Raw genomic sequence first — 18,307 nt, forward strand, 5'->3', positions numbered from 1 at the left:
CTTTTCCCTGCACCCTCTCGTCCTACACTTTTGCATACCTAGCTCCTCCTCCTCCCTCAGGTCTCATGTTAATTTCACCTCCATGGAGAGACTGCTCTCCACGCCCTACATTTGTAACTTTCTCTGGCGCTCTACATCCCCTATATGTTCCCTTTATGGAACTAACACAGTCTGAATTAAATGCTTATAATAGTAGCTAACACCCACATGATATTTCCTACGTGCTGGATATTTTCATAAGAGCTTTGTACATGTGAATTTTTTTAATCCATCAACAAATGGGGCAGGCATAGTGACTCACACCTGTAATCCCAGCACTTAAGTGATCAAGAGGATCACTTGAGCTCAGGAGATCGAGACCAGCCTGGCCAACATAGTGAAACCCCTTCTCTACCAAAAAATACGAAAAATTAGCTGGGTGTAATGGTGCATGCCTATGGTCCCAGCTACTGGGGAGGCTGAGGTGGAAGAATCACTTGAACCCGGAGGTGGAGATGGCAGTGAGCTGAGATCGTGCCACTGCCTTCCAGCCTGGGTGACAGAGTGAGACCCTGTCTCAAAAAAACAAAACAAAACAAAGCTATGGAATAGGCATTCTTAGTCTCTCTTGTTCCACAAATGAGAAAACTGGGGCACAGAGAGGCTAGCTAACTTGCCCAAGATCACTCTGCAAAGGGTCTAGTTCCGTAGTCTGCACTGTAAGCCTCTGCTGCCTCTTGACCCCAACAACATTCTACAGCTTATGGGATTGATTAGTTATTTTATGTCTGCCTCTTCTACTGGAGTTTAGGCTCTGTGTAGTCAGGGACTGCACTGATCAGGCCCACTGTGTATCTTCATTGCTTATCGGAATACCTGGCCCTTAGAAAATATTTGCCAGATGAATGAACACATGAAAATAAGAATATATTAACTGGCTTAAAAAAGAACAACCCAGATTCCTGCCTGAATGAGAAGAGGGAGCCAGGTAAGTCTCCCAGGACTTTAAGGGGGTGTATGTGGGATTCAAGAGAGGAAGCTTTTCCAAAAATAGCAGCAGGAGAGGACTGGGAGAAGAGATCCTTCTCATGGAATAGCTTGCTTTCTGCTGTTGCTGCTGCTGCTGTCATTTCTGTCCTGTGGTCCCCTTCCACCCAGTCTCAGGTTGCCAATCTGAGCTTAATGGACCTGCTTTCATGCCCTGAGAGGTGGGAGCAGCTGGCATTAATAAATGGAGAGCACTTCAAGAAACAACTGAGTAGAGGCTCCTGAGATGTCCTGAGCTTAGGCATGAGACACTGATGGTGGCTCCCTCTTGACCTGGATTGTTTGTGGCAGGAAGAACAAAGAGGTTGGGGGTGGAGGAAATGTGGAGGGGTCTCGGGAGGGGGTTCCACCTCCAAATGTATCCAGAATCCTATTCTTTCTCATTTTCTCCACCTCTATCACCTGGGCCCCAGCCATGTGGGACTACAACGGCCTCCTAACTGCTCCCCCAGGTTTCAAGCACCCCCCCACCACTCTGCTATCTTCTCAACTCAGCCACCAGAGCCACCCTGTTAGAACCCAGAGACCCCCAGTTCATGTTGCTTCTCTGCTCAGAGCCCTCCAGGGCACCACGGAATTCAAGGCAAAAGCCAAAGTCCTGGCTGGATGCAGTGGCTCACGCCTGTAATCCCAGCACTTTAGGAGGCTGAGGTGGGCGGATCACAAGGTCAGGAGATTGAGACCATCCTGGCCAACATGGTGAAACCCCGTCTCTACTAAAAATACAAAAATTATCTGGGCATGGTGGCGCACCTGTAGTCACAGCTACTCAGGAGGCTGAGGCAGGAGAATCGCTTGAACCCAGGAGGCAGAGGTTGCCATGAGCCAAGATCGCACCACCGCACTCCAGCCTGGCGATAGAGCGAGACTCCATCTAAAAAAAAAAAAAAGAAAGAAAGAAAAGCCAAAGTCCCTGCAATGGAGCAAAGTCCCTACATGATCCTAGGTGATCTGGTTCCCACCCCTCCTCCCACCTCATTCTCTCCCTTACCCAGCTCTCACCTCCCACCTGCCTTGATGTTCCTTGAATGTTCACTAAATGCACCAGTCATGGCCCTACCACCAGGCCCTCACTCCAGCTATTCCCTCTCCATGCAATACTCTTCTCCAGAAAGCTGCTTCTCCAAATTCCTCACCTTCTTCAAGCCTTTGTTCTGAATGAAGCCTAATCGTCCCATGAACGGGACTTACTGTCACTGCTTGCACCTGCATGAAAACAACCTTATGCATGGAGAGTGATGGAGATGAGCGTATTCTAGCTGGGCAAAGGCAGGGTGGCAGAAAAGCCACTCTATACCACTGTGGTCAGAGCCAGAGGACCCCTGCCGCTGCTGGGGTGAGAACATGAGTAATGAGGTCAAAGGGAAATTAAGTGACTTTTTTTTCCCCATTTTCCAAGAATCACTAACTTTTTCTTTTTCTTTGAGATAGAGTCTCCCTCTGTCACCCAGGCTGGAGTGCAGTGGCACTATCTTGGCTCACTGCAACCTCCACCTCCCGGCTTCAGGCGATTCTCTTGCCTCAGCCTCCCTAGTAGCTGAGACTACAGGCACACACCACCAGACCTGGCTAATTGTTGTATTTTTAGTAGAGACGGGGTTTCACCATGTTGGCCAGGCTGGTCTCGAACTCCTGACTTCAAGTGATCTGCCCACCTCGGCCTCCCAAAGTGCTGGGATTAAAGACAGAACCGCTGTGCCTGGCCCCAAATCACTAACTTTCATTGTTAGTGATGCAATTTATATATATTTTTATTTTCATGGAAAAAGGCTCTAACAGGAAATATATAAAGAATATAAATACATAAAGAAAATGTGGGAATCTTGATCCCATTCACACTAGTTCCTCCCAGGAGGTAATCACTGGTCTTGCTTGGCATAGATCCTTTATCAGCGCATTTGCAGGCACAGGTATTTTTTCTACCATAAATAAATGGAATCAGACTCTATGCATTGTTCTGCAATTTGCTTTTTTTATTTTAACTTGAGCATTTCTGGGAGATTTCTGTGGCACTCCATAGAGGTCTATCTCATTTTTATAATAGCTTCCCATTATTCCACGATGTGGATGAAGTGTAATTTATTTAACTTTTCCACTATTAATGGACATTTATATCCATTTGAATTTTTACCTCCTTCTGTGATTCATAGGCTCCAATAGCTCCACTAATGTCAAGCTTTACAACGCTGCGGTATAAATGACCACATTTTTCTCTCACTGAATTTGTAAACGTCTTATCAACAACAGCACGGGGGTAGACGTGTGAGTTGGTTGCAGATGCCACGTGTGTGGGCCACGGCCGTTCCTTCTGGAGGCGGATGCTGGCTGCAGTTTGTCTGCAGTGTTTCAGTGGGGAAGAGAAAGCTCCCAGAAGAGGGCCCCTTCTCCATCTCAAACTCCCCCCGTTCCCCGGCCATTCCTCTCCTTCTCAGGCATAGTAAGGAGGCCAGCACAGTTCCTAGGATTCCAGGTCAAAGTGCATCTTGCCTTTTGACCCAAGAACCCTATCCCATTACAAATGGAATCTCAATTAATTTTACACTTGTGGGCCGGGTACGGTGGCTCACGCCTGTAATCCCAGCACTTTGGGAGGCCGAGGTGGGCGGATCACAAAGTCAGGAGGTCGACACCATTCTGGCTAGCACGGTGAAACCCCGTCTCTACTAAAAATACAAAAAAAAGTTAGCCAGGCGTGGTGGCGGGCGCCTGTAGTCCCAGCTACTCGGGAGGCTGAGGCAGGAGAATGGCGTGAACCCGGGTGGCGGAGCTTGCAGTGAGCGGAGATCCTGCCAATGCACTCCAGCCTGGGCGACAGAGCGAGACCCCGTCTCAAAAAAAAAATAATAATAATAATTTGCACTTGTGTTTGAGTATTTCCCTTAACTATTTTGTAAGCCTACTCTGTATGAATTTGTGGTTTCCTGCCCTCTCTAGTTACATGTCTCTGTCAATCCCTGTTTCTATCTGTCTGTTTCCCTTTTCTCTCCTCCACCGCAAGATACAGAATCCCATCCTCTGTAGGCAATCAATATATCCTTATTAATGATTATTAGAAACAATGCTGGGACTGAGGAAGTGGTAGATAGCAACTCTGGGAAAATCAGATGAGAATTCATTACTCAACATTTCCCAGGTGCCTCATCCAAGACCTCATGCCCGAGAGAGCACTCAGTACCATCTTATTGATTCTAAGATGCTGCCCTTATCATGGGACATTTCTAAAACCAGCGTGGGTTCTATGATAAAAGTTTACATTTAATACAATATTTTTTAAATAACCAAGGGCATTTTATAGTGCTTCTTTATAATGCCTCTTAAATTCCTCTAAGAATGACTCAGTAGACCCTGACCATAGGAACGGAGTAAAGAATGGCTACAAAGGAAATGTTGAAGGGTACCAAGAAGCCAGCTGTAGGGCTCCCCTCTCTCCAATTCCCTCATGCCCATGATGTCTGAAAAGTCCACCATTCAGACTCTTTCTGAGGAGCCTAAGATGCCTTGGGCTCCAGAGGTGGTCCCCTGGTCTGGTGAAACTTAGCATTAGCTCCTGCTGGCTGGAATGATTGATCCAGGGATAGGCACAGCCAGTGGGAATCCTTCTTAGAAAGACCTTAGAACAATTAGAAAAGACCCTCCTCCCTTTAGTTGGTAATAAGCCAATAAAAGATCAGAGACGGTGGGGGTCATCTTTGCCTTCATATGAAAAGACCTCATCGTGCCTGTAATCCCAGCACTATGGGAGGCTGAGGCTGGAGGACAACTTGAGCCCAGGAGTTTGACACCAGCCTAGAAAACATAGCAAGACTCCCATCTCTACAAAAATTTAAAAAATCAGCTGTTCATAGGACACATTTCTGTAGTCCTGGCTACTCTGAAGGCTGAGACAGGAGGATTGCTTGAGCCCAGGAGGTTGAGGCTGCAGTGAGCTATGATTGTGCCACTGTATTCTAGCCCTGGCAACACAGCGAAAGACCCTGCCTTAAAACAAAAAAAAAAGAACAGAAGTCACTGGAGATGAGCCAACCTGGGAAGGTAGAGTCCGAAGACGGAGAGAGGGAATTCTCAAGGCCCCTGTGGATCACCTGAATCCAGCCCCTCACACCCTGGACCCCTCCTTTCAGATGCCCCAAACATCCTATTGACCCCCTCCCTTAGGGTATTTTCAAATGTTTTCCTTCATTTCTGGAATGTTCCAGCAATACTAGCTAACATGCTCCACTGTTAGCTAATAATGCCATGAGCCCTGAGCTCAAAGTCCTGAGCTCGAAGATCTAGGGAGGCCTTCCCAACACCATCCCAGGCAGATCCTCCTGCCTGCTGGCCATTCTTAGCACTCTCTGTATCCCTTTCCTATAGCATTGTCCCCATTTGTAAGGACACTTGTATGTGTGTATGTGATGGTCTGGTTAATGTCCTTCTTCCCTACTAGACTATAAGCTCCCCAAGGGTAAAGTCTCTGTCTCTGTTCATCATTCTCTCCCCAGTGCCTCTCAAAGGCCTGGCATTTTGTAGGTAAATATTTGCAAATAAAGGAATCAGGGTCTCATTTTGGTTGAGGTCAACTGATCAAAGCTCAGACTCTAACTCAGACTCCTGGTTTCTAAGACTGACTAGCTGAGATCTTGGGAAAGTCACCCACACTTGTGAGCCTCAGTTTCCTCATCTGTGAAATGGGACTAATAATGGTACATCCCAGGGATGCTGTAAGGATTGAATGAGCTGCTATGTGTAAAGTACTGAGAATGAGACACAGCATAAAGTCAACATGGAGCAACAGTGAGCTGTGCTTCTTATAAGGGCCCCTTTAGCTGTGGCTGCTACTGTTGACAGTGAAAGATCCAACCAACGACTGATGTTTTACTCTGGGCTTTAGATTTGTCAGGATGGTGTGTTGTCTCTTGTCCCCAAGCCAGGTATTGAAATGTGGGGTGGGGGGAACAAAACAACTGCCAAAACTCTGGAGGGATGCTGGGTGGTTTTGTCTAGGTTTGGAGCCCATCACAGCCCAAGAACCCCTGGACCAGCTATGTTCACTGAAACATCACATGGTATCTAGAGGGTCCTTGAATGGCACACTTGTCACAACTTTTTGTGCTCAAAAACAGTCACTGGAGGATCTTTTAAAAGTGCAAATTATAGATCTAGAGTGGGGCTAATATTTTGCATTGCTAACGGGTCCCCAGGAGATGCCTGTGCTGGTCCATGGACCACACTTTGAGTAACCAGGCAGATGTACACTGAAAAGCAACTCCCATCGTGCCGAGAAAGCTGGCTGGCTCCAGTGACCTGAACTATTTGAAAGAGTGGGTAACTGAAGAGGAAAGAAAACAGCCTGAAATGGAAATAAATACTGTGTACCACAATCTCATTAATGTCTAAAATTAGATTAACATAATTAAAAATTTAAAAGCTAGATTAAAGCATGTCAGCCTGAAATCCAGTGGTGAATTATGCCACAGCTATCTTTGCTTTTTCCTTAACGGTTTGTGCTAATGGGTATTTCAAAGACTACTGGGTTACACGTTGTTCTTTGTGATTTTTGATTATCACCAAACACATGCAATTGACCCGATTTCCAAGGAGATGGCTCTCCCAGGACATGGCTACCATGACACTCCAAAAATGTAAAATCATGCTCAACCTTGGGCCCTCTCCTCTGACTGCCAAGTAGGCTTCTTTGGGGAAAGAAAAGAGGCTTAGTTACTCTCCAGATGGTAGGCATGCACCTTACATGTGTCATGCCAGTCATGGTGAGTGGCACAAATATTATTGAGGTTCCCATTTTTAATGTATTATTATTATTATTATTCGAGATGGATTTTCGCTCTGTCGCCCAGGCTGGAGTGCAGTGGTGTGATCTCAGCTTACTGTAACTTCTCGGGTTTAAGCGATTCTCCTACCTCAGCCTCCCGAGTAGCTGGGATTACATGTGTGTCCACCATGCCCGGCTAATTTTTGTATTTTCAGTAGACACGGGAATTTCACCATGTTGGCCAGGCTGGTCTCAAACTCCTGACCTTAAATGATCCTCCCACCTCAGCCTCCCAAAGTGCTGAGATTACAGGTATGAGCCACCATGCCTGGCCTGAGGTTCCCATTTTATAAGTAAAGAAACTGAGGTTCCTAGAGGTACAGTAAGCTGCTTGAGGTCACATAGCTAATTAGTGGAAGAGAGCTGGGATCCTAACGCAGTTCCGTTTGATTTCAAAGCATCCATATTCTTTTCATGGCCTCTCTGAAGAATAAACCATCACATGGTTCCATTTAAGGAGTGAATGCATATGCACATGTGTGCAGGCAGAAGAGTGGTGCTGCCAAGAGAAATGGAGACAGAGTAAACATCTAATCATAAAATGTCTATCTCTTTGTTTCTGCTCAAGTTGTCATACTGAACCCATTACCACTGATATAACTTACTACATATTTGAACATAATTGGACTAAGTGATCTGTTCCCTCGCCAGATTCACAAAGCACTTATTAGCTCAGGCTTCTGGTCCTGGAGTTATTAAGTCTGTTCTCATCCACCAGGAGATTAGGTTCCTGAGGGTGAATATCACCTTGGAGACATTTCAGATTGCCATGACTTTAACCCTAAAATGGGTACGGTCGTCTTTTCCTGGAATAGGTGGACAAAAGAAGGCAAAGTGGGGCGGGGACTCCGTGGAGCTAGGCACGGGTCATCATGGCCATGCGTTCATGGGATATGTCCACACCCCCGCCAAGCTTCTCTCTTGAGTCCCCAGACTTGCAGTTTGGCCAAAACATCTCCCTATAAATCTGATTTCCTTCCAGGAAGTGAGATATTTTGAAAGAGTCTTGGGAGTGAACTTTGCCTAACCTAAGTTACACTGGGAGGATATTGTTGCAGGTAAAGGCTGCTTGCTAAAGGGCTGTTGCTTTGAACTGCAGACTGCTATTCTCGTTTAGTTATATAAGCCGGAGAGTTATGTCTACTTTGGTTGTTGTTGTTGAGACGGAGTTTCGCTCTTGGTGCCCAGGCTGGAGTGCAGTGGCGTGATATCGGCTCACCACAACCTCCACCTCCCAGGTTCAAGCGATTCTCCTGCCTCAGCCTCCCTAGTAGCTGGGATTACAGGCATGCGCCACCACGCCCGGCTAATTTTGTATTTTTTTAGTAAAGACTGGGTTTCTTCATGTTGGTCAGGCTGGTTTCGAACTCTCGAACTCAGGTGATCCGCCTGCCTCGGCCTCCTGAAGTGCTGGGATTACAGGCATGAGCCACTGCGCCTGGCCCTATGTCTACTACTATTTTTGTTTTAGAAGTATTTACTGAGGACCAAATGGGTGCTGGCTAGTCTTCTGGATGCTGAGACTAGAGCAGTAAACAAAATTTGGATGCTAGAGGGGAATATATTAAAAATACAGCCAAAATGTAAAATGGTTCAGCCTCTGTGGAAAACATATCTGTGGTTTCTTAAAAAGTTAAACCAAATTACTATATGACCCAGCAACTCCATTCTTCAAAGTACTGAAAACAGATACTCAAACAAATGGTATACACATGTTCACAGTGGCATTATTCACAATAGCCCACAAGGTGGAAAGAATTCAAATGTCCATCAGTAGATGAACAGATGAGCAAAATGCTGTATATCCCTACAATGGAATATTATTTGGCCATGAACAGGAACGGCATTCTGACACATGCTACAAGATGCATGAACCTTGAAAACATCATGCTAAGTGAAAGAAGTTGGATGTAAAAGGTCATGTACTATATAATTCCATTTGTATGAAAATATTCAGAATAGGTAAATCCGTAGAGTCAGAAAGCAGATTGGTGGTTGCTGGGAGCTGATGGAGGGGGGATGAGGAGAGACCGTGTCATGGGTATGGGGTTTTCTTCTGTAATGATGAAAGTGTCTTGTAACTAGATAGCAGTGGTGCGTGTGCAAAATTGTGAATGGACTCAATGCCACTGAATTGTACACTGAAAATAGTTATTTTTGGTAATATGAATATCACTTCAATTTACAAAAATGGAGATTAATAAGATTATTTCTGATAATAAGAGTTAATAGGAAAATTATAAAGAGTAATGAGGTGAAGGGTCAACAGGCATTGTTGGTGAAATGGTCAAAGAGGAACTCCACCAGGGGGCGACACTGAGGAGATATTGATGACCCATGAGAGAAAACCTTGCAAGGACTGGGGCAGAGCTTTGCGGGCAGGAGGAAGAACAAGAACAAAGGTTGGGAGGCAGGCATGTGGTGGGCCAGTTGGATGCCAGCATGGTGATTAAAGGTGGATGCGACAAGAGCCCATAATGTGAGGTAGACAGGAGCTGGATCCTGGAAACTTCCCTGACAGGTCAGAAACTCGTACAAATATTTGAACTCAGATATCAGGGGAAGCCACTGGAGAGTTACAACCAGGGAACATATACTGATTTGCATTTTTAAAAATCGATGTAGGGCTGGGTATGGTGGCTCACGCCTATAATACCAGCACTTTTGGAGGCTGAGGCAGGGGAATCACTTGCGGTCAGAAGTTCTAGACCAGCCTGGCCAATACGGCAAAACCCCATCTCTACTAAAAATACAAAAAAATTAGCTGAGCATGGTTGTGGGCGCCTGTAATTCCAGCTACTCAGGAGGCTGATGCAGGATAATCACTTGAATCTGGGAGGTGGAAGTTGCAATGAGCTGAAATTGTGCCATTGCACTCCAGCCTGGGCAACAGAGTGAGACTCTATCTAAAAAAAACAAAAAACAAAAAAACCCAACAAAAACAAATTGATGTAAAATTCACATAACATAAAATTAACCGTGCTGAAGTAGACAATTCAGTGGGCTTTAGCTCATTCCCAGTGTTGTGCAGCTACCCCCTCTCTTGTTCCAGGATATTTTCATCAGCCCAAAAGGAGACACTGTATTCATAGTCAGTCACCTCCCATTCCCTGTGCCCCAACCGACAACTAATCTGCTTTCCTTCTCTATGGATTTCCATATTTGGGGTGCTTTTAAAGTTAATTATTTATTTTTGAGACAGGGTCTCATTCCGTTGCCCAGGCTGGAGTGCAGTGGCATGATGTTGGCTTACTGCAACCTCTGCCTCCCAGCATGCACCACCATGTCTGGTTAATTTTTTTGTAGAGATGGGTTTTGCCATGTTGCCCAGGCTAGTCTTGAACTCCTGAGCTCAAGTGACCCACCCACCTCGACCTCCCAAAGTGCTGGGATTACAGGCGTGCACCACCAGGCCCAGCTAATTTTGTATGATAATGGAAATTTTATTACTCTATAAAACATACCAACAATTGAGCAAAGACTGTCCAAAAAATTGTTCCCATCCCCAGGACTCAAATCTCCCCACTATCTTTCACTTCAAAATCAGACCACAGCTGTCTTTGTACAATTTTTTTCCAACATTTAGAATTTTACCACATCTAGAAGTTCTCAGGTCAGGTGATTCTTTAAACAATCGTGCATCTATCTGCTTGCATTGACATTCCCCCGTCTACTTCTGCAGATGAAGTCTCAACCATTGTCACCTCCTCCCCAGGCAATGGCAGTATGTAGGAATGTAAAACGGAGCAGCCAGTGTGGAAAATAGTTCAGCGGTTTCCCAAAAAGTTAAAGAATGATCACAGAGCCTAGCAATTCTGCTCCCAAGTAGATGCCCAAAGGAATTGAAAACAAGTGTTCAAACAAATACTCTTACAAAAATGTTCACGACAGCACTAGTTATAAAGGCCAAAAGGTGGAAACAACCCAAATGTCCATCAACAGACGAATGGATAAAGAAAATATGGTATATCGATACAATGGAATATTATTCCACCATAAAAAGGAACAATAAACTGATACATGCTTCAATGTGGGTGAACCTTGACAACAGTCTGCTAATGGAAAGATCTCAGACACAAAGTCATATATGGTATGATGCCATTTATATAAAACATCCAGGCCAGGCAGACCACTCCATCTCAAAAAAAAAAAAAGAAAGAATAAAAAAGAAAATTTCCTTGCCAGCTAGCTTGAAAATCTCTCTTGGGGCCCAAATTGGCCTTGTTTAGGAAGACACTTTGATGAGTATCTGGGAGGAAAATGAAACCCTGAAGTCATCTGTCAATTAAAACCAAAGTCCAGGAAAATCAAGTTTTAAAGGTATTCCAGAATTTCCCGTAGTATGGAGGAAAGAAAGAGACAGGAGGTGAGAGAGGCATCCAGTGACAAAATGTGGCTGCCTGAGGGTCATTAGCTAGTGAAGAATTTCTGGTGAACTTTGTTGAATCCTCTGGCTTCAATCCTTTCCCTGTGAGAAGGTGGGGAAACTCAGTCCCAGAGCAGCAAAATGCTTGCAAAAAGAGGATAATGGCAAGCAGGGTGCAGTGGCTCACGCCTGTAATCCCAGCACTTTGGGAGGCCGTGGCAGGCGGATCATGAGGTCAAGAGATAGAGACCATCCTGGCCAACATGGTGAAACCCCATCTCTACTAAAAATACAAAAATTAGCTGGATGTGGTGGCACGTGCCTGTAGTCCCAGCTACTCAGGAAACTGGGGCAGGAGAATCGCTTGAACCCAGGAGGCAGAGGTTGCAGTGAGCCGAAATCGTGCCACTGCACCCTAGCCTGACGACAAAGTGAGACTGTCTCAAAAAAAAAAAAAAAAGAGGTAATGGCAAAAACAAAAATCAAATGTGCTTTCTACTTTTCTCCTGCTATAGAATGTTTCTGAAGCACTTCTCTAAGGAGAGACAAATGAATGCCCAAGCTATACTCTCTATAAATTTACACTTACATGAAAGGAAGAAGTCATCCCTTCATTCATCCATCTATCCACCCATCCACCCATCAATCCATTGATATATCAGTTTGTCTGTCCATCCATTCATCTTCCTATCCATCTTTCCTTCTATCCATCCATCCATCCGTCCGTCCGTCCGACCGTCCGTCCGTCCGTCCGTCCATCCATCCATCCATCCATCCATCCATCTGTCCATCCATCCAACCATCCATCCATTTCATCAATTAACAAATATTTTAGCACTTAATGAGCTGAAGTCAGGGATTTTCATTGCAGGCCTATAGGCCATGACCAAACATTTGAATTTTATTCTAACAGTAATGAGGTTTTATGTAAGGGTTTTAACCTGGGGCTAGCTTCATCTTATTTAAGTTATAATGATTACTTTGGAATATGGAAGATGGACTGGAGGGAGCAAAAGCAGAAATTGAAAGATGTATCATCTAAATAACACAGTCCAACAATCCTATTGCCTTCAATCACATGGGCTTCTGTGCAATTCAACAGGCACCTTTTACAATTTTTTCAATAGATTTTTGGCGAACAGGTAGCGTTTGGTTACACGAATAAATACTTTAGTGGTGATTTCTGAGATTTTGGTATACCCATTACCCAAGCAGTGTGCACTGTACCCAATGTGTAGCCTTTTATCCGTCACCCCCAACACCCTTTCCCTGAGTCCCCAAAATTCATTGTATCATTATTATGCCTTTGCATCCTCATAGCTTAGCTCCCACTTATGAGTGAGAACATACAATGTTTGGTTTTCCATTCCTGAGTTACTTCACTTAGAATAATGGTCTCCAATCCCATCCAGGTTGCTGTGAATACCATCATTTCATTCATTTTTACTGCTGAGTAGTATTCCATGGCTTGTATATATATCACAATTTCTTTCTATATCACAATTTATTTATCCACTTGTTGATTGATGGGCATTTGGACTGGTTCCATATTTTTGCAATGGCGAATTGAAACAGACACTTATTGAGCTGCTACTGAATACCAGGCCCAGTCAATCTGGGTGCAGGGATGACCACTGAATGTTTCCTTCCCTCATTGGAGCTGATACTACAGTGGTGGATGGAGAGAAGAAAGCTGACAATTGTGACCAGGATGGGACAGCAGATACACAGATGCCAAGACAGTAAGGGTGGAGGCCTTGACAAAGTCTAATAAAGGCAGAGGTAAGCCCTCCAAGGGGGGCTTCTTGGAGGAATTGGTATTTAAGCTGAGGATATAAGGATGCCTGGGACTTGGCTGGGAAGTGTACTCTTAGCAAAGAAAACAGGGTGAGTGAAGGCACAAAGCATGACACTGCAGAGTTTCACGTGGGAAGCCACAAGAGCCCTTCAGGAATGAGGCAGAATACTACATGGGTATGTGCGTGGAGGGGTTGTGGGCAGGCGTGGTGACAGCTGACAACTGGGGTCACTATGAGTAGAAAATGAGACTCGAGATACCAGTGGAGGCTAAGTCATGACAGATCATATGTAGATTACATCCTGATGGTACTGGGGAGGTACTGATTATAAAAAGGAGAGGGTATAAATCCCCCTTCCTTTGCTTCTTTCTGAGTACAGAGCCATGGTCTGAGCACATCTGGATGAGAAAGAACGTTTGAAGGCTGAGCCCTTAGGAAGCAAATTCCATATGCCATTTGTTGGTATAAGATGTTTATGTGGGGAACATATTTTCAGGTGCAATTATTTCTCTTGCAAAAACATGACCTGTTTCTCCTATTATACTTATCATCTATTTATTTTGAAGAGTGAGAAAACAGACTTTAAAAATGAACAAAAATTTAAACCTGCAATTTTTTCATCTAGTGATAACTGTTACTATTTTATTGTATGATCTGTCATTTAAAATTACATAATCACGACTTTTCTATAAATGGGATCATAGCCTGCACACTGCTTTATTAGTTGCTTTTTTAGTTGGAAATACAGCATCAACAGCCTCTGTGTTTTCTTCCAAGGGCTGCCAAAACAAAGTGAATGGCTTAAAACAATAGACATGTATTATAGGTTTAGAGGCTAGAAGTCCAAAATCAAGGTGCTTGCAGGGCCACCTTCCTTCTAAATCCCATAGGAGAATCCTTCCTGGCCTCTTTCTGGCTTATGGTGGTCACTGGTAATCTTTGGCGCCCCTTGGCTTACAGTTGCATAACCCCAGTTTCAGCCTTTGTCACTTGACATTCTCCCTGTGGCTCTCTGTCCTCACATGGTTGTCTTCCCATGGGACACCTTTTGTGATGGTTCATGCTGCATATCAACTTGATTAGATTGAGGGATACAAAGTATTAACCCTGGGTGTGTCTGTGTGGGTGCTGCCAAAAAAGATTAACATTTGAGTCAAGGGGCTGGGGAAGGCAGACCCACCCTTAATCTGGTGGGCACCATCTATCAGCTTCCAGGGAATACAAAGTAGGCAGAAAAACTTGAAAAGGAGAGACTGGTCCAGCCTCCCAGCCTACATCTTTCTCCCGTGCTGGATGCTTCCTGCCATCGAGCATCAGACTCCAAGTTCTTCCGTTTTGGGACTCAAACTAGCTCTCCTTGCTCCTCAGCCTGCAGGCAGCCTATTGTGGGACCTTGTGATTGTGCAAGTTAATATTTAATAAACTCCCCTTTATATATATTTATATGTGTATATATATGTGTGTGTATATATGTGTGTGTGTATGTATATATATATCTCAAAAAGTTAAAGAATGATCACAGAGCCTAGCAATTCTGCTCCCAAGTAGATGCCCAAAGGAATTGAAAACAAGTGTTCAAACGAATACTCTTACAAAAATGTTCATGACAGCACTAGTTATAAAGGCCAAAAGGTGGAAACAACCCAAACGTCCATCAATTATATATATATATATATATACACACACATATCCTATTAGTTCTGTCCCTCTAAGAGAACCCTAATACACCTTTCATATTGGACTAGGGGCCCACCTTACTCCAGAAATATCTCGTCTTCACTAAACATCTGCAGCCACCCTATTTCCAAGGAAGGTCACATTTTGAAGTACTAGGGGTTAGGACTTTGTGAAAGGAAAGTACCTTGGGCCCCCAAAATCGCTAAGCTAAAAGGAAAATTCAAGCTGGAAACTGCTGAGGGCAAACCTGCCTCCCATTTTATTCAAAGTCATCTCTGTGCTCACTGAGATAGATACATATTCTGATTGCCTCCTTTGGAAAGGCTTATCAGAAACTCGAAAGGATGCAACCATTTGTCTCTCACCTACCTGTGACCTGGAAGCCCCCTCCCTGATTTGAGTTGTCCCTTTGTCCCCGCCTTTCTGGACAGAACCAACGTACTTCTTACATATATTGACTGATGTCTCACGTCTCCCTAAAATGTATAAAACCAAGCTGTGCCCCGACCAGCCTGGGCACATGTCGTCAGGACTGCCTGAGGCTGTGTCACGGGCACGTCCTCAACCTTGGTAAAATACACTTTCAAAATTAACTGAGGCCTGTCTCAAATTTTTGGGGTTCACAACTTCGACTTTTTTTTTTTTTGAGATGGAGTCTCGCCTTGTCATCCAGGCTGGAGTGCAGTGGCACGATCTCAGCTCACTGCAACCTCCACCTGCTGGGTTCAGGCAATTCTGCCTCAGCCCCCTGAGTAGCTGGGGCTACAGACACACACCACAAGGCCTGGCAAATTTTTTTTTTTTTTTTTTTTTTTTTTAGTAGAGAAGGGATTTCACCATGTTGGTCAGGCTGGTCTTGAACTGCTGACTTTGTGATCCGCCCACCTCAGCCTCTCAAAGTGCTGGGATTACAGGTGTGAGGCACCACACCCAGAGGACATATCTTTTTTTTTTGATGGGGGAGACTCGGTGTAACTCATAACAGCCTCACTTGCCATCTAACACTATTTTTACTGGCTACACACTATTACATTTTGTAAATGTACAAATGTCCCTGGGTCCATCTTTGTCACACTGAACAAGCAATCTGCTGCGTGTCCTTGTCCTGCCGTGTGTGGTGACAGCAGCCATCAGCCTGAGCACTGTGATGCTGGGTACCTTCCAAACTCACCCAATCTTCCGCTCCCTGCTAGTTGCTACTGACAGAAAAAGACGGTGGACTCAAGTTCTCTGAAAATCCTTTCAAACACAAGGGCAAGAGCAAAAAGGAAAACTTCACATAACCAGAAGAGTCAATGGATCAGAATTTCCCCCAGGCATTCTGGTTCATGCAGATTTGACCACATTTTGGAACAAAACCAGTTCTAAGTGGTCTACTCATCAGTTGCTCACCTGAATGCAACAATTACTATTATTATTTTTTGAGACAGAGTCTCGCTCTGTCACCAGGCTGGAGTGCAGTGGCACAATCTCAGCTCACTGCAACTTCACCTCCTGGGTTCAAGCGATTCTCCTGCCTCAGCCTCCCGAGCAGCTGGGATTATAGGCACACGTCATTAGGCCCAGCTAATTTTTGTATGTTTAGTAGAGACGGGGTTTCACTATGTTGGCCAGGATGGTCTTGATCTCCTGGCCTTGTAATCTGCCCGCCTTGGCCTCCCAAAGCGCTGGGATTATAGGCATGAGCCACCACACCCGGCCATAACAATTATTTTATTCAACCTGCCTTATGAATGTAGGCAAAAAGCATCCAACTCCAGTTTCCCAGGATATCACTCATTATCCCAAAAGATGTGGCAGCAGCCTAGAAAGCAAGTCTGTTTTAAACCATAAAACCTCCCCTTTGTGAGCAGGAGACCTTCCGCACCACGTCTTCACACACACATGGAGCAACAGTACTTTGTGTTGCCTGTTGCGGCTGTAAAGAGGTTTTCATGCACACTGGCCCATTTGATTATCTAAGCAGTCCAGCTGGAAGGTCAGGACCATTCATACCTGAGGCTTTGGAACATCCTGACTTGCCCAAACCTGCTCAGCTTATAACCGCCACCACCACAAATCAGGAATTCAGCCATGTGTGGATAGACAGTCTTATTCAATCTTCCCCAAAACATAAGAAAGTGCTGTGTTCTTTTCCCTTCTAGAGAAAAATAAACTAACCCTTAGGAAACACGCTACCTGACCCATGCTCAGACAGTTAGACAGTACTGGAACTGGGTCTTGAACCCACACTGCCTCCCTCCCCAGGCCATGTTTGTAACCACAAAGCTAACTTGTGCTGGGCTAAGACAGACTTTTAACTCCTTGAATCTTGACTCTTTTTGCCGCATGACCTGGTTTGGTTCAACAATGGCAATTTATCTCTATTTAAAAGCAGATGTTGGGACGGGCATGGTGGCTCACGTCTGTAATCCCAGCACTTTGGGAGGCTGAGGAAGGTGGGTCACCTGAGGTTAGGGGTTTGAGACCAGCCTGACCAACATGGGGAAACCCCGTCTCCACTAAAAATACAAGAATTAGATGGGCGTGGTGGCGGGCACCTGTAATCCCAGCTACTCGGGAGGCTGAGGCAGGAGAATAGCTTGAACTCAGTGGGAGGAGGTTGCAGTGAGCCAAGATCATGCCGGTACACTCCAGCCTGGTTGACAGAACAAAACTCCTTCTCAAAAAAAAAAAGGAATGGATGCTGGCTGGGTACACTGGCTCACACCTGTAATCCCAGCACTTTGGGAGGCCAAGGCGGGCGGATCACTTGAGGTCAGGAGATTGAGACCATCCTGGCTAACAAAGCGAAACCCTGTCTCCACTAAAAATACAAAAAATTACCCAGGCGTGGTGGCACACGCCTGCAGTCCTAGCTACTCAGGAGCTACTGAAGCAGGAGAATCACTCGAACCTGGGAGGCGGAGGTTGCAGTGAGCCAGATGGCCCCACTGCACTCCAGTCTGGGTGACAGACGTAGACTCTGTCAAAAACAGAACAAAACAACAAAAATGATCTTTTAAAGTTACTTACTATCTAGGATACCTGCTAGGCTGTAGGCTCCGTCTGGAAGTGTGTGACAACTTAGGTCCTTGATAAGTATTTGCCAAGAAGGAGAAGGGATGGGTAGATGGGCTGGGCTGTCTGCAAAGTTGAAGCTCACCAGACCCCAGCTTCCTTCCTTCTGGGATGCATGAAACAGAGAAGTGTCAAAATGTCCAGCAAGGTAAATGACTTCCTGCTCCAAAGCATGGAAGGCTCATTTTCACCCCACTTAGCAGTGAATTATGTTACCTGCTGGTGAGGACAACTCCAGGAGGCCCGTAATTAGTTCCCTGATTATTCACAATTGAAGCGATCACGGCTAACTGATGGTGTTCCCACAAAAACCTGTAGGAGAGCCAGGCCATTTGGCAGCAACTGCGTTCCCAACAAGGCAGATCAATTTCCGTTTGATTTGTTTAAAAATAACAGATAAACAATGCGGAGCAGCTCGCAAGGTTTGGGTTCCTCCTTTCCTAAAATTTGAGGAAAGGAGGCCGTTTGAAATTACCAGTTAGGAATAAAACAGGCAGATCACATTCGTGGCTCAATCGGATTCCCCTATAATCAGAGCTAATAACTGTATTTTTCTGCTACTAAACA

Source organism: Homo sapiens, chromosome 16, assembly GCF_000001405.40.
Source record: "Homo sapiens chromosome 16, GRCh38.p14 Primary Assembly".
NCBI lineage: Eukaryota > Metazoa > Chordata > Mammalia > Primates > Hominidae > Homo > Homo sapiens.